The sequence below is a fragment of the Homo sapiens genome, chromosome 2 (genome assembly GCF_000001405.40).
Source record: "Homo sapiens chromosome 2, GRCh38.p14 Primary Assembly".
NCBI classification, from domain to species: domain Eukaryota; kingdom Metazoa; phylum Chordata; class Mammalia; order Primates; family Hominidae; genus Homo; species Homo sapiens.
In genome coordinates, this window is record NC_000002.12 from 23,460,350 (window position 1) to 23,479,297 (window position 18,948).

General features: G+C 47.5%; 1 protein-coding gene and 1 long non-coding RNA gene across 2 annotated transcripts in view; one reads left to right on the plus strand and one right to left on the minus strand.

The window, feature by feature from the left end:
• Positions 1 to 15,155, minus strand: part of LOC124907741 (uncharacterized) — a 33,975-nt gene extending 18,820 nt beyond the window's left edge. Inside the window, exon 1 of the long non-coding RNA XR_007086244.1 lies at positions 6,741 to 15,155. This is a non-coding gene — a long non-coding RNA (uncharacterized LOC124907741). The remainder of the gene's footprint in view (positions 1 to 6,740) is intronic.
• The window catches only part of KLHL29 (kelch like family member 29), a 323,428-nt gene that overhangs the window by 75,171 nt on the left and 229,309 nt on the right, over positions 1 to 18,948 (plus strand). Inside the window, exon 2 of the mRNA NM_052920.2 lies at positions 15,211 to 15,318. The gene's annotated coding sequence lies outside the window, so the exon portion shown is untranslated. The remainder of the gene's footprint in view (positions 1 to 15,210; positions 15,319 to 18,948) is intronic.

Below are 18,948 nucleotides of genomic sequence, written 5' to 3' on the forward strand. Positions count from 1 at the left end.
CCTTTCCCCATCCTAGGAGACATTGGGCACTTATCTGGGAACTTATCTGGAGATATTTTTGTCATGATGTAGGGGGGAAGGGATGCTACTGGCCTCTAGTGGGTGGAGGCTAGAAATGCTGCTAAGCATCTTAAAATGCACAGAACAAGCCCATTACAAAGAATTATCTTGCCCCAAACAAGAATGGGGTGAAAATGGCTAGATTAATATGTGCATGTGGTAACTACAGGAGCTCAGAGGATGAGCACTTGGACACACAGTGGAGCTGGCCAAGCAGAAGATGAGGGACAGACAAGACAGGTGGAGGCCACAGGTGTGGAAAGGCATGGAGCCGTGAAGGGAGCATCGTGCAAACTCAGGAGCTTCCCGTGAAGGGAGCATCGTGCAAACTCAGGAGCTTCCCGTGAAGGGAGCATCGTGCAAACTCAGGAGCTTCCCGTGAAGGGAGCATCGTGCAAGCTCAGGAGCTTCCCGTGAAGGGAGCATCGTGCAAACTCAGGAGCTTCCCGTGAAGGGAGCATCGTGCAAGCTCAGGAGCTTCCAGCAGTTCCGGGCAGAGGCACCGTGACTGATAAGGGCGGAAGTTTGCAGAGTAGCTGTGGCCATAGATATCATACCAAGTATCTTGGATTTTGTGTCTGCGCTGAGAGGCCACTAAAGGATTTCAAATGAGAGGAAACCAGATTGGTGTCTTAGAAAGATCGTCCCGGTGGCTGACAAAATCAAACAATAATCACCAACATCTGTTAAGAATCAAATCTGTGTCCAGCACTTTTTTGAGTACTTTATTGTATTATCCTGTTTAGTCTCCCAGCAACCCAATGGAGGAAACACTCTTGTTATCCCCATCTCACAGCTGAAGAGACTGAGGCAGAGGGGTCGGGTAGCTTGCTTGACATTACGTGAGTAGTAACTGCAGGGCCAGGATGTGGCTCCCAGACTGGGCGTATAAACAAACATGAGATGCCCTGTGGTTCTTTCTGTCTCCTACTTTGGGTCTGAGCTCTGGGACTAGATTTGAGCAGCCACAGGATCTCAATTCATAATTCATGTTTCAACACTTTTGCAGCTGCTCTAAAAATTCTATGCCTCTAGCCTTAAAGAGTACGGCTTTGAGGTAACCACTTCTTGTTGATTAGGAGTTCTCGCGTAGCTGTTAATTTTTCTAGGTGCTCTGGCTGAAATGCCCTATCGACAGAGAAACACTTGAGTGAATTGTGCTGATGGGAAGTCAAATTCACTTTTTGCTGCCTAAGCCTTTTAAATGGACCCGGTATCCATACGTGACCCCTCTACCTTGTATGACTCGCTCTGCCTTCTCTATCAGCTACTTCACCCCACTATCCAGTGTACCCCTTCTTTATCTTTGCTGGGGGGGCAGGGGGGCGGGAAATAGATGACTTTGCCTAATAAAATTTAAAGTAGATCTCAGTGCACAAAGCTGCATCGTTAGCCAGCGATGATCCTGCTTTTCAGGGTTTTTAATTGCGGTGGTTCCCTGCTCTGCATTAGGAGCCCTAATGAGAAGTGACACCCGCTTCTGACCCAGGACTGATGGCCCCTAGGGAGAGGGAAACTGAGGTTCCCAGGTATTAGTTTGGTGCAAAAGTAATTGCGGTTTTTGCCATTTTTTTTTTTTTAATGACAAAAATGCAATTACTTTTCCACCAACCTAATAGAAGGGGCTGCACCTGTGTTCCTTCCACCCATGAGAAGAGATTTTTGTCTGAATCTCAGCTGCTGAGGGAGGCAGGTGACTGACAGGTGGGACTCAAGGATGACTCCCACCTGGCAAATTTCAGCAGCACTCCTCCCATTTGGAAAGAAGAGCCCAGACACATTTTTATATGTATGTAGGCTTTTAAATACATGTGTCTCTCTCTTTTTGAAAACATTGGCAGAGTTCTGGCAAAGCATAGGAAATGCTACCTGGTCTGTGATCTGGAGGGAGCTCCCTCCTGAGAGGAAACAGGCTCTGTCTATGCTACACTGGATGGCTGGCCTAGCCTGCTGCCGGTGGGTTCTTTGAGGCTGGTCTATCACCTGTGAGTTCACAGCCCCAAATGATCCCCAACTGACAGAAAGAGCCCCAGGCTGTGGCCTCTGTCACTAGGGAGTCTGGAGGGGCAGCCAGCTCTGATTTCTAGGCTTCTTCCTATAATGATTCCGTGGTAGGACAGAGAATTCTCTGGGCTTCCGTTTTCTCATCTGCAAAATATAGGGGTTGTTGGACTGAAGACCTTCTAGTGTCCCTAGCGGCTTTGACTGGTGGATTAAATCAGACCTTTGACAGGATAAGGACTGCCCATCAGTGCTAAGAAATTAATCTTATGCCCAAACATAAGGCAGTTCCCCACTTTCCCAAAGAAAAGCTTTCCAAAAACTTTTTAGCCAACCTGAATATATTAAATTTTTTTGAATATAGATGCAACAAAAAAGTATACTTACAATGTTTAATTATTTTAGTTTCAAATGTTAAAAATTACAAACTATATAAAATGCTAACCGGGCATGGTGGCTCACACCTGTAATCCCAGCATTTTGGGAGGCCAAGGTGGGAGGATTGCTTGAGCCCGGGAGTTCGAGGGCAGCCTGGGCAACATAGCAAGACCCCATCTTTAATTAAAAAATAAATAAAAATAAAATGTTAATTTAGAAATATTTCCACTTATATTTCATGAGTAATTATTCAAACTTGTTCTGGGCAGCTTTGCCTCCCATGTTTTTTTTTCAGTGTAGTTTTTTTTTTTTTAATCACTAGAGTGACTTTTTGAGTCCTCTGACAATTTTTTGGAACGTCATGGCACTTTTTGAATGTGAGGATTAGACCTTCCCTGGGAATTCTATCCCAAGTTGAAGCAGGTGTTTTTGGCTTTTTTTTTTTTCATTTGGTTTATAGGTAAATATTCACAGTCTCTTTGCAATAATTTGTTATGATTCTTGTTAAAGTGACCTTCAAAAGTCTGTTTATAATAACATACAGACACTAAAATTTATACTACATCATATTTGTGTTAATTAGAGTCTTCTTACTGATACAGAATCTATCAGTGGATATATTCGATATCTTGAATAGAAGGCAACACCTTGTTGAGGGCTAATGAGGGAGGAGGGAAAAGATGGCATAGACAAAAAATTTTACTGTACAAAATTCTCATTTAAAACCCCTCAGCTTGTTATATTGCACGTATAAGCATTTCTGTAGTGGCTGTTTGGTAGCCTATGTCTGTGAATGTAGGCAGAGGTCTCTTGATGGAGCCCAAAGACAGAACACCGGGTCTTCTGCTGAGTCTTTTGGGCCCCGCAAGAACTCTGACCAACATCCTTCACCACTTTCCAAACACAAGGAGCCGTAAGCCCCTTCTGACCACCTTTCTGCCAATCTGCTGTTGGGCTTTTGTGTAGTTTAATGAGCATAGAGTCATTTGGAAATATGCACTGCGCTTCACAAAAAGAAAGAGTAATATAATCAGAAATGATTATATTTCAGCACTTCAGCACTATTGCTACTATTAATGTCCATTATCACTGTATTACCTGAAATGTGTTTAACAATCACAGTCACTAATCAAGGTGCCTGTCCTGGAAAATGTGTATTCTCTCCATCTGGATCACACTATGTATTGTGCTGTTACTGTTTTAAATTTTTTTCAGATAATTGGAACCTGCTACTTCATACTTTGAAAAGTAATGTAGCGGGTGAAGCCCTGAGAGGTTCAAAGCCTATGCTTCCATCAGGGAAATAATGCAATTTCCATGCAAAATGATTATAATATTATTCAGTGATTACATGGGGGTGGAGGGTAGTCTGTTTTTGTTAGACTTTTGAAAGTGGCAAATTGAATTCCATCCAAGTAATCAGAGGTTATGAGTTTCCAGCACAGTGTGTTTGCACTTGTTGGAGGCTCATTTCCCCAGGGTCTCTGCAAGCCCGGAGCCCCCGGAGCCCCCAGAGCCCTTGCTGACCACTTGGGACAGACGTGAAGGGCCAGGGAATTAATTCCCCGCCAGCAGCTTTCAGCCCATGATAAATGGGAGGTGGAGGAAACACTCCAGCTGCCTTCGGGGGGGATAACTCTGAGACCCCCTCCTCCCTGTCTCCCACAGGTCCCCAGTGGGTGAGATTGGCCCCACTTGCCTGCTCATTTGGAGCAATCTGTGTTGACTTCCTTCACTCCCTCCCGTCCCCACTCCCCTGCCTAAGCTTTCTGAACCACTGTTCAAACAGAACACTAGCCTCAGATCCTCATCTAGGTTCTGCTTGACAAGAGAGGCACACGTGGCCTCCCCACTTTCCCCTTCCCCTTTTTGAGGGCATCCAGGGGCCTCTCTGGATCCTTCTTTCCTATAACCCATTTTGTGGAGGGTTCTTGGCAGCACCCAGAAGTATTTGTGTTTTAAGGCATCGTCATTCTGAAAAATGAAAAGTCTGAACATTTCTTATGGTCAGGAAGTTGATGGGTGTAATTTATTTTTCCCACCTCTTCTCTTAATTATTATTACTCCATTCAAGTGAGACAAGATGATTTAATCCAGGCTGTATTTAAAATGCCCATAATCAATGCTCTCATTCTGAGCATGTATCTATGTGCTCTTAGATAATTTATGTATAATTTTAATAGATTCGTCAACAGCAGCCCTTCCTCATCTAAACAGGCTGCTTGCAGACAGATCGCTTAATTTGCTTCTCAATGTTATTTTTCATACATGGTTGCTGCACGGCCGACAGATAGTAGATGATCCCATTACGAACACATTTGACACGGCCTCTACTGTGGGGATGAGCAAACTCGAGGTCTCGTACTGTGGCAGGCAGGGTATGGCCCCCTCTCACTCAGAAGGGTCAGATCCCAGAGAACAAAGCCACCAGGAAGGTGCTGAAGCTAGTCCTGGCAGCGTTTGGGTGCTGATGGGAGCCCTGGCATCCTGCTAGAGCAAACAGGAGGCTGTCAGTGCTGCACCCATTTTCCAGCCAGGGCATCACCTGCTCATGCCTCTCACCTGCTCACGCCTCTCACCTCCTGCCTCTCTGTGTGTGAGGGCACCTAGCAGGCAGGCTGGAGGTGTGGGGGCATTCATACTGCAGAAACAGCCCTCTATCAGCAAGAGGCAGGAGGCAATGCATAAATACCCCGGCTTCCTCGCCTCATCGTGAGACAATTTCAGGTGCACTCTGCACGACTCTCAGAGGGTTCCCAGCAGGACAGAGCCCCAGCTGGCCCCAGCAGTGACCCCATGGCAAAAGCGTCCTCAGTTGGCTTTTCTCCTGTCCTGTCTCATACCCTAGTGCTTCCTTGGATCAACTCCCAAAGAAACCACTTCTGTCAAAATCTTGTTTCAGGATCCCCTTTAGGAGGAGCCCAAATGAAGACATTTGCCCCTCTGAATTTCTTCACGTTGATCTTTCAGGCACCACCTTCCTCCAGGACCCCGCTTAAGCCCTGCTGTGAAGTCGTCCTACTCCCTCTGGCCCAGAAACTCTCCTCCTCTGGCCATCTTCAGTCCCACTAGCTTAGTTAACTTAGCCTGCACCATCAGCAGCCTTATCTGTCCCCTATTTCTGCTTGTGGGTGTGTGATGGGGCAGGTGCCAATCCCGCCACCTTCCCGCTGACTTTCATGTGTGTCTCAGAGGTGACGGTGTTCATCTCAGTCCTCAGTCTGGAGTGCAGACAAGAGACGTCGAGCAGGGTAAAGGATGGGTGGCCAGATAATGCCAAGAGTACACTCTTTAAGGGAAAAAAAAATCACAGAGAAACGCCTCCTTCCAAAGACCAATGTGAGTGCTGATGGATTACTTGCACCATTTCCGTCCGCTGGGGTAATTGCAAGATGAGTGCATTGTGTTCCAAAGGAGAAATATTCTGTAGATGTGGTAATCTTTGCCATGCAGGCTCGTGACAGAGAGAACCACATCAACTTCTAAATTTTCTCAATGGAGTGCAATGTGTGTAATGTGTAATAAAATATAAATAAGCCTTTAAGAAGCATCTATGTGTTTCTTTTTATCAACCTTTAGATGCGTTAAAGCGAAGTACAATTTTATATGAATTCTAGATGATATGTAGTATTTTTATTTGCTACTTCATTGCTAAATGTTTCATATAAAACTGAAGAGAAAAAAATACACAGTCCCACATATAAAAGAAGAAGCAGATGGCTAAATATGACCGTGGGAGAGAAGCAGTGAATGGTGTAGGTTCAGAAAGGAGGCTCTCCCCTACCGTGTGTGGGCCCGAGATGGAGAGGAGGGAAATTTGTATGTGCAGTTACCTGTGTTCATTAGCTGTTTGTTTCCACTGTGTTAAAGTAGGCCATTAGTATTCATAAGAATCTACAGGTATCTTTGTTATGGTTTTTTTATCTTTTAAATGTACATATAAAGAGTATGTATTATTTATAGATGTATTTGGATTTAGAAACATCAAGCTTGAAAAATAATGCAGCAAGGAATATTTGATTTAATGCTTACTAGGGAGGGGAGAGGACCAGGACTTTCTGCAGGAAGGAAGACTGGGTTGGGATGTTATCTGACCTTTCTGGGGGACTTTCCTGGAAGCTCTTTAGTGACAGTTACAGTGTAGAAAGATCTTGGGTGAAAGAAAGGACAGTGGCCAGAGAGTTAGGAAGCCCCGGGTCTCATCCCAACTCTCCTGCTGACTGGCTGTGGGACCTGAGCTTGTCACTCACCCTCTCCTGTCACTCAGCCTCTCCTGTCATTCACCCCCTCCTGTCACTCACCTTCTCCTGCCTTTGGTGACCCTGCCTGGATCCAGACATCAATTCGTGCCAGGCTGTGGCTCCATGATGGGTACCTCCGTGCTGACTGCTGCTCAGCTGCTGGCCTCCTTTCCAGAAGAGCAGTCAGGGTGGTAAGCCATCCCGCGTGTTTCTTCAGATGGATCACAGAGCCACAGTGCGATCAAGCCACTTACCTACACACATTGGTAGAGACCAGGAAAACAGAATTAGCTTCTCATTCTATTTCCAGCTCCTAGGCTCTTTCCATATTGGCCAAGAAAAGCAGAGTACTTACAGAAATTCCTAGTTAATGGCATCTTTCTGCCTGTGTATGGAGAAACATGCCTGTCTGTAGTTTATTTTTAAATGAATAACTCATCATATTTGGGTAAAAAGTCCTGTAATCTCTAAAGCCTTTCTTTCACAATTTTTTTTATTCTGAGAGTGTAGAAAACAGCCTCAGATCTATTCAAATAAAATAGCTTTTTTACTGAGTGAGGAAGCAATGCATTTTAAGACCCACTTGTGTTGGGGAAGGGGTTTTTGGCCACTGGCTCTGTAGGCTTGGGCTCAAAGGAAAGGCAGAATCATGAAATAGAAGCTGTAGCAGCATCTGCCCGAAGGTCTTGATTTTGGTTTACCAATCGCTGGCTGCAGGCGGGATGGGAACAGGGGCTCTGTGAAGGCTGAAATTCAGGGAGAGAGCTGGAGGGAGCGGAGAGTGGTCGCTGACCAGTGTGAAACCAACCCAGCACTCTTGCACACGTGATCAGCCCGTTGGTTCCACCGCCTTCTGAGGAAGACCCCTCTTCATTCATTTGTGCCCTCCGTGCCCACTTCTTTGGCGGGGTGGTGGAAGAGAAGGCTCCATCTAGTGTGACTCCCAGCCATCCCCATGGCACTATAGGTATTTTGTTCTTCAATGAGCAGGCATGATCATTATAATGGTTATTGCTGCCATGTGTATGTGCCATAGACTATGTTAAGTTTCTTTCTTATGGTAGAACATTCAACTCTCAGAACAACCATCGATGTTTAGTGGTATCATCCCCATTGTATAGAAGAGGAGCTTGAGGCAGGGACTGGGAGTGGAGGGTGGGCAGACGTGGTCATTGCCATCAAACGGCAGAGCTGAGATTTAGATGCAGCTCCCTCAGATTATAAATCTTCCATGCTCCTGACCACTACACAGGCTGAGCCAGCCTCTGAACTGGTGTCTCCGAGACTAGGATGGAAACCCAAAATGAAGCTCAGGTGGTGCTGTGCAGACCAGGAGTGAGGCTACAGGATTCAGACTTGGGAGAAGATCTCTGCATCTCTGTAAGGGGACCAGCAAATCACGAAGTCTAATAGCCCACCTTGTTTTACCCTGTGAAGCCATTCTGTTCCCATCATTCCTCTTTAAAGCTATCAAGAGGCCATGCCCTAAAGGGGTGGGGCTTCAAGAGACACCGCCCCCCTCCCCGCCGAGCATCAGCAGCTATATCTGTGGACCAGACTGGCTCATTCCAGACCCTAGGAGTGAGCTACTATGCTGTCTGTTTCTCCTGTCCCCACGGCCGTCTCCAGCCCCCCGACACCTATAGCTTTGGTCTGGCTAGAGGGCTTGTGGTGTTTTCTGATGTGGCTGGCTATTTGAGTGCTTGGGGTGCAGGTCACAGGCTCCCCTGAAGAACCGGGCCAACAGTTCCAGGGCTGATCACCAGGCAAAAGACAGACTTCAGACAAGAAACTGGAACAGGGAAAGCCGAAGGCAACACAGAAGCCCTGCTCTCTCTGGGCTCTGCTTACGGCGTCCAGACTTGAGGTGGCCTCTTTCCTGGGTGCGAGTTTCTGTCTGGTGGATGCTGAGGACTTGGGATGGGCCTGACCAGGCCCCTGGGGCCCTCCTGGAAAACCGGCCGGGAGCCAAGTTGTCTGGCTGTGTGTTGCTTTCTTCTCATGGCTCTCGCCTATTTCTTTGCCTGTTGTTTTGCTTTACTCCACAAGACTCCAGTCAAGTCTTGTTTAAATGTTATAGCCTGGTCCCAGGAGTGTCAGGGAGAGTCGAGGAAAGCTGTGTCCACACTGGAGTCAGACTTTTAAAGGGGCAATGCCCCTGAGGGCACCAAGGCAGCGGGAGTGGAGCCTCTATAGATGGGAGTAGGCGCTGTGAGTCTCTGACTCCCCACCCACATGGTGACCTGGAGGGTGTTGGAGAAAAGGCTACTGTGTGTTGCTCAACACCCGCACCCACCGCAGTCCAACTTGAGAGAGCTGGCAGCTGGCCTGCCCGTCAGGGAATCAGGGATGTGGGCACCTGCCCTGCCTCATGGGGTTCGTGTGGCATCTAATGAGGGAGAGAAGATGCAGGAGCACGCCACGCAGCCCGCAGCACCAGGCAGAGGCGAAGCATCCTTATGAAAAGCTGAGATTTATGGGTCTGAAGGAGAAGCAACATCTGGGAAGGAATTATTGCAATTTACAGGGAGGATGGAGGCCTGTTTATAAGAGCAAAATCTGGAAGCAGTGTCTGATTTTTTTTTAAACTGGTTTATATTCCAATCATCAACCTATGGTGTGAACATCTTCCAGATGTTCAAAGAAAAATTGTGGAAAATGAGTTGAACCGTGGAGGCAATTTCCTTTTTTGAACAGAGCTTTACTCTTTACTGAGCATCTACTACGTGCCAGGTGGGTCCTCCCTGCCGACATCTTCAGTGCTGCTGTGGGTGAGTCAAGCTTTGGTAGGTCCAGTTGGCACCTTTGGCTTCTTTTTCTTCATCTTGTGGAAATGCAAGGGTCATTCCGGTTCTGCTTCCAGTGATGGGCGAATCTGTATTAACTGGTAGAGTGAGGGTGGGGGGATATGTGCCAGCATTGAGTGGCAGGGCTGAGTTGGGTGAGTTCGAGTTCATTTCATTTTGGGGGGGTCTGCTGTGTATCAAAAAAAAAAAAAAGATTTTAAGAGGATTTTGGTTTGCAACTTTTTTTCCTGAAACCTTTCATGCTGGGTTTATGGTGGAGTCATGTCATGGCATAACTTAGGATCCAGTCCAACTATGAACACCTCATTTTCTTTATCTTCCCATTCTCCTCGCCCCAAACCATCCAAGGCAACTAGGAGATGGGCCCTTTGGTGCTGTGCTGGCCCAACAGGAAGCCTCCTTGGGTGGCACGTGTGTCCTTATTGTGATAGTCTCCAGTATTTTGCCTGGAAAGTTTCGTACTCCAGAGAGTGCAGAAAGAAGTGTCCAGGGAGGAGTTTTCACGAGGAGAAGGGTGACGGCAGCTGGAGGCCCAGGAACAAAAGCCTGGAATGGGAGGCACAAAATCCAGGCTTGCTGTTCAGGCTCCCTCTTTGACTTGCTGTGTGACTTTGGACAACCTTTTTTTGCCATGAGCCTCTGTTCCCTCATCTGTAAAATGAGGATTACAAAAGTAATCAACTCATAAATTTGTTAGAACAGGTAAATGAGAAAATAAGAATGGGCTAGGCTTTGTAAACTTCAAGCCTTATGAAAACATTGTTACCTCTCAAATCGGTCAGCCTGGCTTCTGCAGACACTGTCTTTCTTTGAATACAGCCTACAAAAAGCATGCCAGGAGCTGCATCCCTACCAGCTGAAAATAACGGATCTCATCAGTGGCCAATTGTGGCTCCTTAATGGAATAGGCAATCTCTGCGTTGTGCTGGGTGGACTCTCATGACTTACTCCATCTTTGCATCTTCACTCTCCCCTTTAAAAAGCAGTGCCTTCCGGACCCCGGCTCATGAACTGTCGTGAACCTGATGGATAAACCTTCTGAGAATGTTTATTTTTGTGTTGGCAAGAAGCCTGCAGGCTTTGGTGAACCCACAGTTGATATTATTAATGGATGGATGGCCTGTTTTTCTCTCGTCTTAAAAAGAATATGAATGAGCGTTCCCCTTGCAGGACACACTGGGAGCAGGCGTTCCTGCCCAGGGTCAGAGGTGCCGCAGAGTCCCATATCTGGGCTGACAGGAGGGTGGGCTCGGGAGCCGGTTTCCTCCCTACAGTTTACAGCCTCCAGTTCCTTTGCTTTTCTTTTCCAAGGAAGAAAGACTCTTTGTTGCCCAGTTTGCTGAGGGGTGCTGAACTTCTGGGTTCTGGACCCATAATTGGAGAGTGTGGTTACGACCCTGGCGGGGCTGCTTTCTGATGCTGTGTCAAACTGGAGGCTCCCTAATTGGTTTCTCCTCTCTTAAGGCAGTTTCTCTCCCCTAAAAACATGGTGTATTTTATAAAGAAGTAAAAAATCCTGGGGCCCTTGTTCATAATTCTCTTGACCATCAGTTTGGTTCATGTTAGGAACTATCTTTATTTATAGACTTAGAGGTAAAATGGATCTCAAAATTTTTCTCTAGTTTCATTTTGAAGCTCTCCAAGCATTTAACCCAAATAGCCCATTCAAGGGTCTTGCTTTCATATTGGTCTTAATGCCTTGTCAAAGTCAATTAACATCTCTTGAGTACCTTGGGAAGCTGAAAGTCCTAAGACCCCTTTCACAAGCAGTGACTGACTACCTACTGTATTTTTTAAAATAAATTAGAGTCCTCTGTCCTTTAGCTTTTACGATTTGTTTTCCTTAAGACTGTAGGCTGCCGTTTGATGAAATTAGTGGAAGGGAAAAGGTCAATTTGGCCAAAAGTGTCACAAATTAAGCCCTGAAGCAATCTCTTTATTCACCTGGAGATAGAAAACCATACCTGCCTCCCTGTGATTTCCTGGGTTCATTCCTGGGATTCATTTTCCCAGGCCATGATCTTTGGAAACGTTAAGATTTTACAGTGTTAACTTGGGAACAAAATTATTACTAAAAATTGGTTTCTAGTAATTTATTTTTAAATCACTTTTAAATACCATGTATCTCATTAGAGTGGGACATGCTTAGGTGCATGGATGTAGCTTATAGGCCTCCCAGAAAGGACAATAATGAGTCAAGGATCGTTTATACACCGCTACATGATGGGTGCTATGGACCAGAGATTCCAAAAGATACTGTCTATTAAGCCCAGGGTCTAACTGCAAGGCGTGGGGGTTGGGTGGGTGGGAAAAGAACAAGAAAGGAAAGATGTGAAAAAATAAATAAAATCACTGAGGCATAGACTGATGCTAAATGTTAACCGAGAACAGTTAGAAACCCTTTCAAGGAAAGAGTTTCTGGTTGGGGTCGGCAAAGATGTCGGGAAGCAGGTGTGCTTGCCCTGGACTTTGAGCAGGTGATGGCACTTCTGAGATGGTGATGCTGAGATGGAGGAAGAGGAGGAGGATGTCACGGGTTCTCTAGTTTTAGCACTTTGGGAGGCCGAGGCGGGCGGATCACAAGGTCAGAAGATCAAGACCATCCTGACCAACATGATGAAACCCTGTCTCTACTAAAAATACAAAAATTAGCCGGGCATGGCGGCGTGTGCCTGTAGTCCCAGCTACTTGGGAGACTGAGGCAGGAGAATTGCTTGAACCCGGGAGGCGGAGGCTGCAGTGAGCCAAGATTGCGCCACTGCACTCCAGCCTGGGCAACAGAGTGAGACTCCATCTCAAAACAAAACAAAACAAAACAAAACCTTGATAAATATGACCATTATGTGTCCTGGGGTTACTCTTCTCGAGTAGTATCTTTGTGGTATTCTCTGTATTTCCTCAATTTGAATGTTGGCCTAAAAAGAATGGGAAACAGAGGTTCCTAGGAGTTAAAGAACTTACCTGCTGTCACAAAACTAAGTGTCAGTGTTAGAATTCTAATTCAGATGTATCTGATTCCAGGGTCTTGCTTTTAACCCTCTCTGTGAATGTATCTATCGGGGTCTTGAAATAGACATATTCAAATGTGTAATTTGGAGAGAGTTAAGTAAAATGACTATCCACAAAGATGAATAGGCACAGTATAGAGAAACCATCATAGCACAGTGCCCCCAGGCTGATGATGGGATGAGGGGAATTACTGCCTTTGAGCATAATGGTCAGGGGAAGGAGCTATTACAGGAATCCAGAGAGAGAGCCTTGTGGAGCTCCTTGTTCCCCAGCTAGAGCCATGACCTGCAGGTGAGGGACACCCTGCTCATGAAGACGCAGAGAGGGAGGGGAGCAGGGGAACCAACAGTCAACCCTGACCCTGTCCCCAGTCTCCTGCTAGTGCTTGCATGGGCTGAACCTAACCAGAAGTCAGAGGGTCCAAAACATGAGGGATGCTCTCCATACAGGTCAGGTGAGCCTCCCAGGGCTCGCCTGGGAGAGGTGGGGAAGAACAGGGTGGGGAAGGTGGAAGGCAGGTCAAAAGGGCCCAACACAAAACATCCAGTACAGTCTATAATAGCCAATGGGTCATTCACTTCCAGACCTTTTCATCAGCACATGAGGAAAAGTCCCAGAGAACTCAGCTGTGCATGTGGTTTATTTTTGTTCAGAACTGTTTCAGTTGTCTCCCCTAGAGGTAGGGACCACAGAGATGGAAGGGCAAGGCCACTGTCGTCAGGACAGGCGTAGACAGCCTGTGCTTCCTTCCCACCACTGTCCCTCTAGGCTACAGTCTAGCCTATTCCATATTCATTCGGCACAGCCTGGAAAGGAAGTGGATTAACCCGACATGAACTCTGAGGGTTTTGGCTCAAGAAATTGGGAGCCACTTCTAAAGATGGTGGCTGGGATCTTTGGGCTCTCAAGTTAGTAGACTTCACAGTAGCCTACAGGGCCCTACGCAATCAGGATGCTCACCACTCTGGCCTCACCTCTTACTAGAATCTCCCTCCACCAGCCACAGTGGCTTCCTTGGTGGTCCTGGAACATACCAGCCATGTTCTCACTGGCTGTTCCCTCTGCCTAGAACACTTAGGGCCAGATGCCCACACGACCTACTCCTCATCTTGAAGTGTGTGCTCAAATGTCCTCCACTCACAAGACTGGCCCTGCCCACCCTACTTAAACTGCACCACAGGCCCCCCGACAACATGCACCCTACCCTGCTCCATTTCTTCTCTAATAAATTGCATATACTACCTTCCAAAATATGATACAATTTTCACTACTTTTTAAGTGTATTGTATATTCTGTGTTTCCACCCTCTAGAATATGAGCTCCCTGAGGGCAGGAGTACCTTTCTCTTTTGTTCACTCATGTATTCCCAGTGCCTTGAACATACTGCCTGACACATAGAGGGAATCAATATTTATTAAATGAATGAATGAATGAATGAGATTCTCAAGCACCTAAAAATGGTTTGACCCCTATCTCCTAGACCTCTCTGTTCACCAGCACTTATCTGCCAAGGATCTTTCCCAGAATACATCGATCACCAGTATTGCCAATACCTTGTGGTCAAAGTGATCAGTTTCTCCTTGTGCTTCACCTTGGAGAGGAAATGTACTCGCCACTTTGGTTCTGTGTCAAAATTAAATGGCGACCTTGGCTGATTTTGCTTCCCCGCAGAGGTTATTTCTTAGTCGTAAAGAGAACATTCTATCCTTGAGAAAAATAATATTTTTGCCACCTTCAGCTTGAAAATGGCTATTTGATATGGATCACGTGCATCTCTATCAGCGGCCGCTGGAAAAGCTTAGGTTGAGAGGATCTGAGAAAGACTCGTTGCGTTGTCAGAGGGAAGCTGACCATAAGGCAGAATGAGTTTACAATAACTTATTTACCTGTCCAAATCCTTCATATCACATTAAAGCTTTCCCCTGCTACCCGGGACTCTGGAGTGCTAAGAGGAAAAAGGAAAATCAATTGATAATGATATATTTGGTTTAAAAAAATATATTGATTCCCAGGTAATGACAGTCGTGCGTTTTGCAGTGGGGGATGCCATTTCCCGTTGTGAAGATGGCTTTCTCATAGATTACATTTAAAAGAAGGAACCAGGAGTAGCTCTGCCTCCCCGTAATAGATAGCCTCTTTCTCCTAGGTATTAAATCTATAATTTAAAAAAAAAAAAAAATTCTCCCCAGGGAACCTATTCTTTGCCTCCTCAAGGTCTTCTTGCCCATTGTGTGAAAAAAGTAATGATTTGTTTTTGTAATTCTAGAGTTTGTGTCCTTTTCAGTATTAGATTAAAGACTTAAATGTTTTCTTTTTCCCCATTGCTGGAGTTTCTTAGTTTGGATTAGATGGAAGACAATACCATTGTTCTCTCTGTTATTCAGTGTCAATGGCTCAATGGTGGGGATTAGGGCTGTGTGTATTCGGAGGATGGGCGGGGGATGCCTCATATCTGCCACTCGGAGTACTCTGCTACCCACTTCGCCCCACTTTGCATGTGCTGGCAGAGTTTGTGCACAGCCTGTGTGAGATAATCCACAGTATGCAACTCAGCATCAGGGATATCTGAGGCAGAGACTAGCATCCAGTTAGTGTGGGGACCACCCAGGATGCTGGAATTCAAAAGACATCTTTTTGCAAAAAAAAAAAAAGAAAAGAAAAAAAATTAGACCTTTTCCCCACCCCTACCCCACTGTTTTTCCCTCTCTTTCTAGACTATCTGGCTTCCTGGTGATGCTCACGCTTTGCTAAGTGTTGGCGGCCATCGTGGTTTTCGCATCCTGGGGACGAATCCTGAGCTTGCCAGAGACGGGCGGCGCAAGGTAGGTCTCTGCTTAGCTCACCTGGAAATAAGAAAGGCATCAGACCTGAGCATAGCCAGCTCTCTCCTCTCATGCTAAATGTGTGGGGGAAGGGAAGAAAGTACAGTAGGTCCCCTCGCCCTCTTCCTCAGTGCGATTTTACCACAGGCGTGTGTGATCAACTGGTACTGGGGCTTAGCTAAGCCATTTTAGCCTCAATCCTCCTAGAATCAACCAAAGAGAATATCTATGACTCTTTTTGTTGTTGTCCAGCCCAGGCTGGAGCGCAGTGGCGCAATCTTGGCTCACTGCAACCTCTGCCTCTGGGTTCAAGCGATCCTTCCACCTCAGCCTCCCAAGTAGCTGGGACTACAGGCATGTGCTATCACGACTGGCTATCACGTGTGCTATCACGACATGGTTTCACCATGTTGGCCAGGCTGGTCTCCAACTCCTGACCTCAAGTGATCTACCCGCTTCAGCCTCCCAAAGCGCTGCGATTGTAGGCGTGAGCCACCGTGCCCCATCAGAGAATCTCTGTGACAGTTCCTTGCTTACCTGGGTCTTGGCTTTCCCCAGGAGGTTAGATCTAGGGATGGCCAGCAACTAGATGACCTTTAACCTCCTTAAAAACTGTAATTAAGTTTTATAATTAAGTTTTGGTATTAAAATGTATTATTAAATATCATGAAAATATTATTTATTCATTATAAAGGGATTTTAAAGGATAGTAGCTAAAAGTATATAAATGACTTATAATCCTGTTCCCCAGAGATAACCATTTTAGTGTTTCTTTCCAAGCTTTTTCTTATGCACATACGTAAACAGTGCACACAGGATCTGACTGTGGGTACTGTTCGGGGGGCATGTTATTTAGATTCCACAATGTATCAAGCCATTTCGTATGTCGGTAAATAGAAATCTATATCACCATTTTTACAGACTGTCTACTCTGTGGATATAATAGCATACATGATTCACTTAATGCCCTAACGATGGACATTTAGCATATTTTAAATATTTCACTATTACAAATAACAGCACAACAAACATTGTTGCATATGTATCTGCATAGTCATTTGATTACTTCTTTGGCTTAAATTTTTAGAGTCCTAGCTTAAACTTTTGACTCCAGGTTCTCCAAGCAGGATCAGGCAGCCAGAAATGCCGGGGAACCTGGCCTGCCTTGGGAGGGCACAATCTTATGAACAGAATCCGTGATCTGGGATCTGCTTTAGCCCCCACCAGGCAGGCCAGGAATGTGCCTGCAGAGGCAAGGAGGCCTGGAGCTGGAGTTGACAACGTTCACCACATTTCATGCTACTGAAGGGACAGGAGCTGGGCCTGGAATGAAGCAGGCTGGAGGGCAGAGGAGTGGGCTCTCGGATCCAGGACAGTGGAGGCCCAGCTGGCCCAGCCTTGTATGTCCTTGTGGGACTTGAGCCTTTAGAAGTACAGGCTGCGTCTGCATAACACACAGGGCCTAGTGCTGGGTGAGCACAGGCCATAGCAGCCCCGGGACTGCTGTATTCTCAGCCGCCCACCCTCATGCCTTCTGACCGGTGGCCTCCTGGCCTCTGCCTTGGACCAAACTCCAGCTTCCCTCTGCAGCAGGGGCAGAACATCAGACCAACAAGGCTCCTGCCACGTCCAGATTCTCTGCTGGTCAGAGAGCTTTCTCTTTGGACTCAGAGACATTGAGGTTGGGGATGGCTGTCCCCTGCCAGAACCCTTGCACAGAGAGGAGAAAATATGGCTTTGGAATCTCAGGCTAGGCGCAGCCTTGGTTGTCAGCAGGAAGCGGGAGAAGGCTCTGGGCTGGGCCAGGATCAGCCACTGAAATGGAAGGTTCCCCACCCTGTGACCCCACAGTGCATCCAGCCTTCAGCCTCCCAGCAGCCCAGTGGGGGCAGCCAGAGGAGAGGTGGGTTCTTGACCTAGGGAGCTGGTGGGCTGTTGGCACACGCCCATGGCACCACTGGTGGGCGACAGCTGTCCTTGCTAGCGATATCGCCGGCACTGGGGAATCCTTTGCCTCCAGGCCTCCTGTTGGGTCAGAGAAGGGGAGTTGGAAAACAAGACAGCGCAGCGTCAGTTTGGCAGCCATGGCATCCCCGCTCCTACACGGGGCAAAGAAAAGATTGAGGACGTATTCTTCACAGAAGCCAGCTCTCCTTGGATGCACCTGTGAGTTTGGCAAGAGTGAAGGGAACAGAGACACCCCAGGGCAGTGGGTTTTGGTTTCTTCAATGTTGACCCTTAGTTTGGGGTCTAATCTTCCCTGCTGCTGATGCAGGGTGGCACATGGCTCTTGTTCTCTTGTTCGTCCTGAGCTCTGGCAATCATGTACTTTAGGATGGGGAGGGACTTTGAGGGCAGTTTCACCAGGCATAGCTGGTCAGATGCACCCTATGTGGGCCTCTATCTCTGTGCCCCCAGACCAGGGTCCCTGTTGTGAACTCAAGTCTGTCTTCCCTAGCACTCGGCCAGTTCCTGGAGGATGGGAATCATACCTGATCTGTCTCTGTGTTCCGCTCCCTCTGCCACTCATACCAGTACCTGATGAGCTCTCAGTAAACAAATCACTACGTGCAGCTGGGACTGTGCCTGGGAGTGTCCGCAACATGCAGCCTGGTGCTGGCTGTGCCCTCCCCTCACATGCAGGAGTCCCATTGATTTCCAAGATGATAGGAAGGTTCCGAGGCCCCTAGATGGTTCTGTGACCCCTGGGGATCAGTGGAAGCAGCTATCAGTTTACTGTGGAAACTGGGCCAGCTCACAGGGTCCTGTGTAACCTGCTACAAAACAGGCCAGTTCAAGAGCCATGTGTGGAGGGCTGCGCTCTGCTTTTCTGTGGTTTGGTGGAAATCACCCAAATAAGTAAGAAGGCCATACTGGAACCAGCTAGGAGGAGTGAAATCTGATACCTGCACTGCAGGAAAGAGGGGTGGGGGGAGTTGAGCCGAGGACTCAGTTTGCGCAGAGCCCAAGGCTGAGCCAAGAATGGCATTAGCAGACACCTCGGGCTCTGGAGGTGGTGAAGGGCAGTGCTGATCGTCACTGGTGCTGGAGCCACCCTGGGCAGCATCCCCTGCCTCCATCATTGAGGCCGTCTCAGTACTGTCTGTCCAGGCCGTTTGTCCCCCTGCCCTCAGCAAACGAAATGCCCTAGATGCCGCCTGTGTCTTCGGAGGAGGTTGCAAATGTCTCCAGAGCTAACGGCAGTTAGAGAACACCATGGGCCATGTCCTGGGCTTCCACACCCCCCGCCTTTACTTCCCCCAGTCCATCCTGCAGGCGTCCTCTCTGACCGCACTCCCCTGCCCGCTGCCTGCCTTCCCTCCCTCGTGCCATGGACAGCCTTACTTCCTGAGCTCTCCCCTTGTCCACTCCCCTCTTGGCCTCCGTGGTGTCCACCTCAAGGAGGGACCTGCAGGCAGACATCTCACTGCTGCTCCGGCCGACACAGACACTCTGCTGCCCCCTTGTCTTCTGACTGTACCTGCTTTCCCTGGCCCACTCTGGGGACCTCTGCAGCCCCTTCTTCAAATAGGTATGTGGGCGCTCACACCCCTGAAAAGGCCGTGTGACCACACCCACTAGCTGGGGCCCAGATCCCTCAACAGAACCTCAGCCGAACCCTCAGCCCTA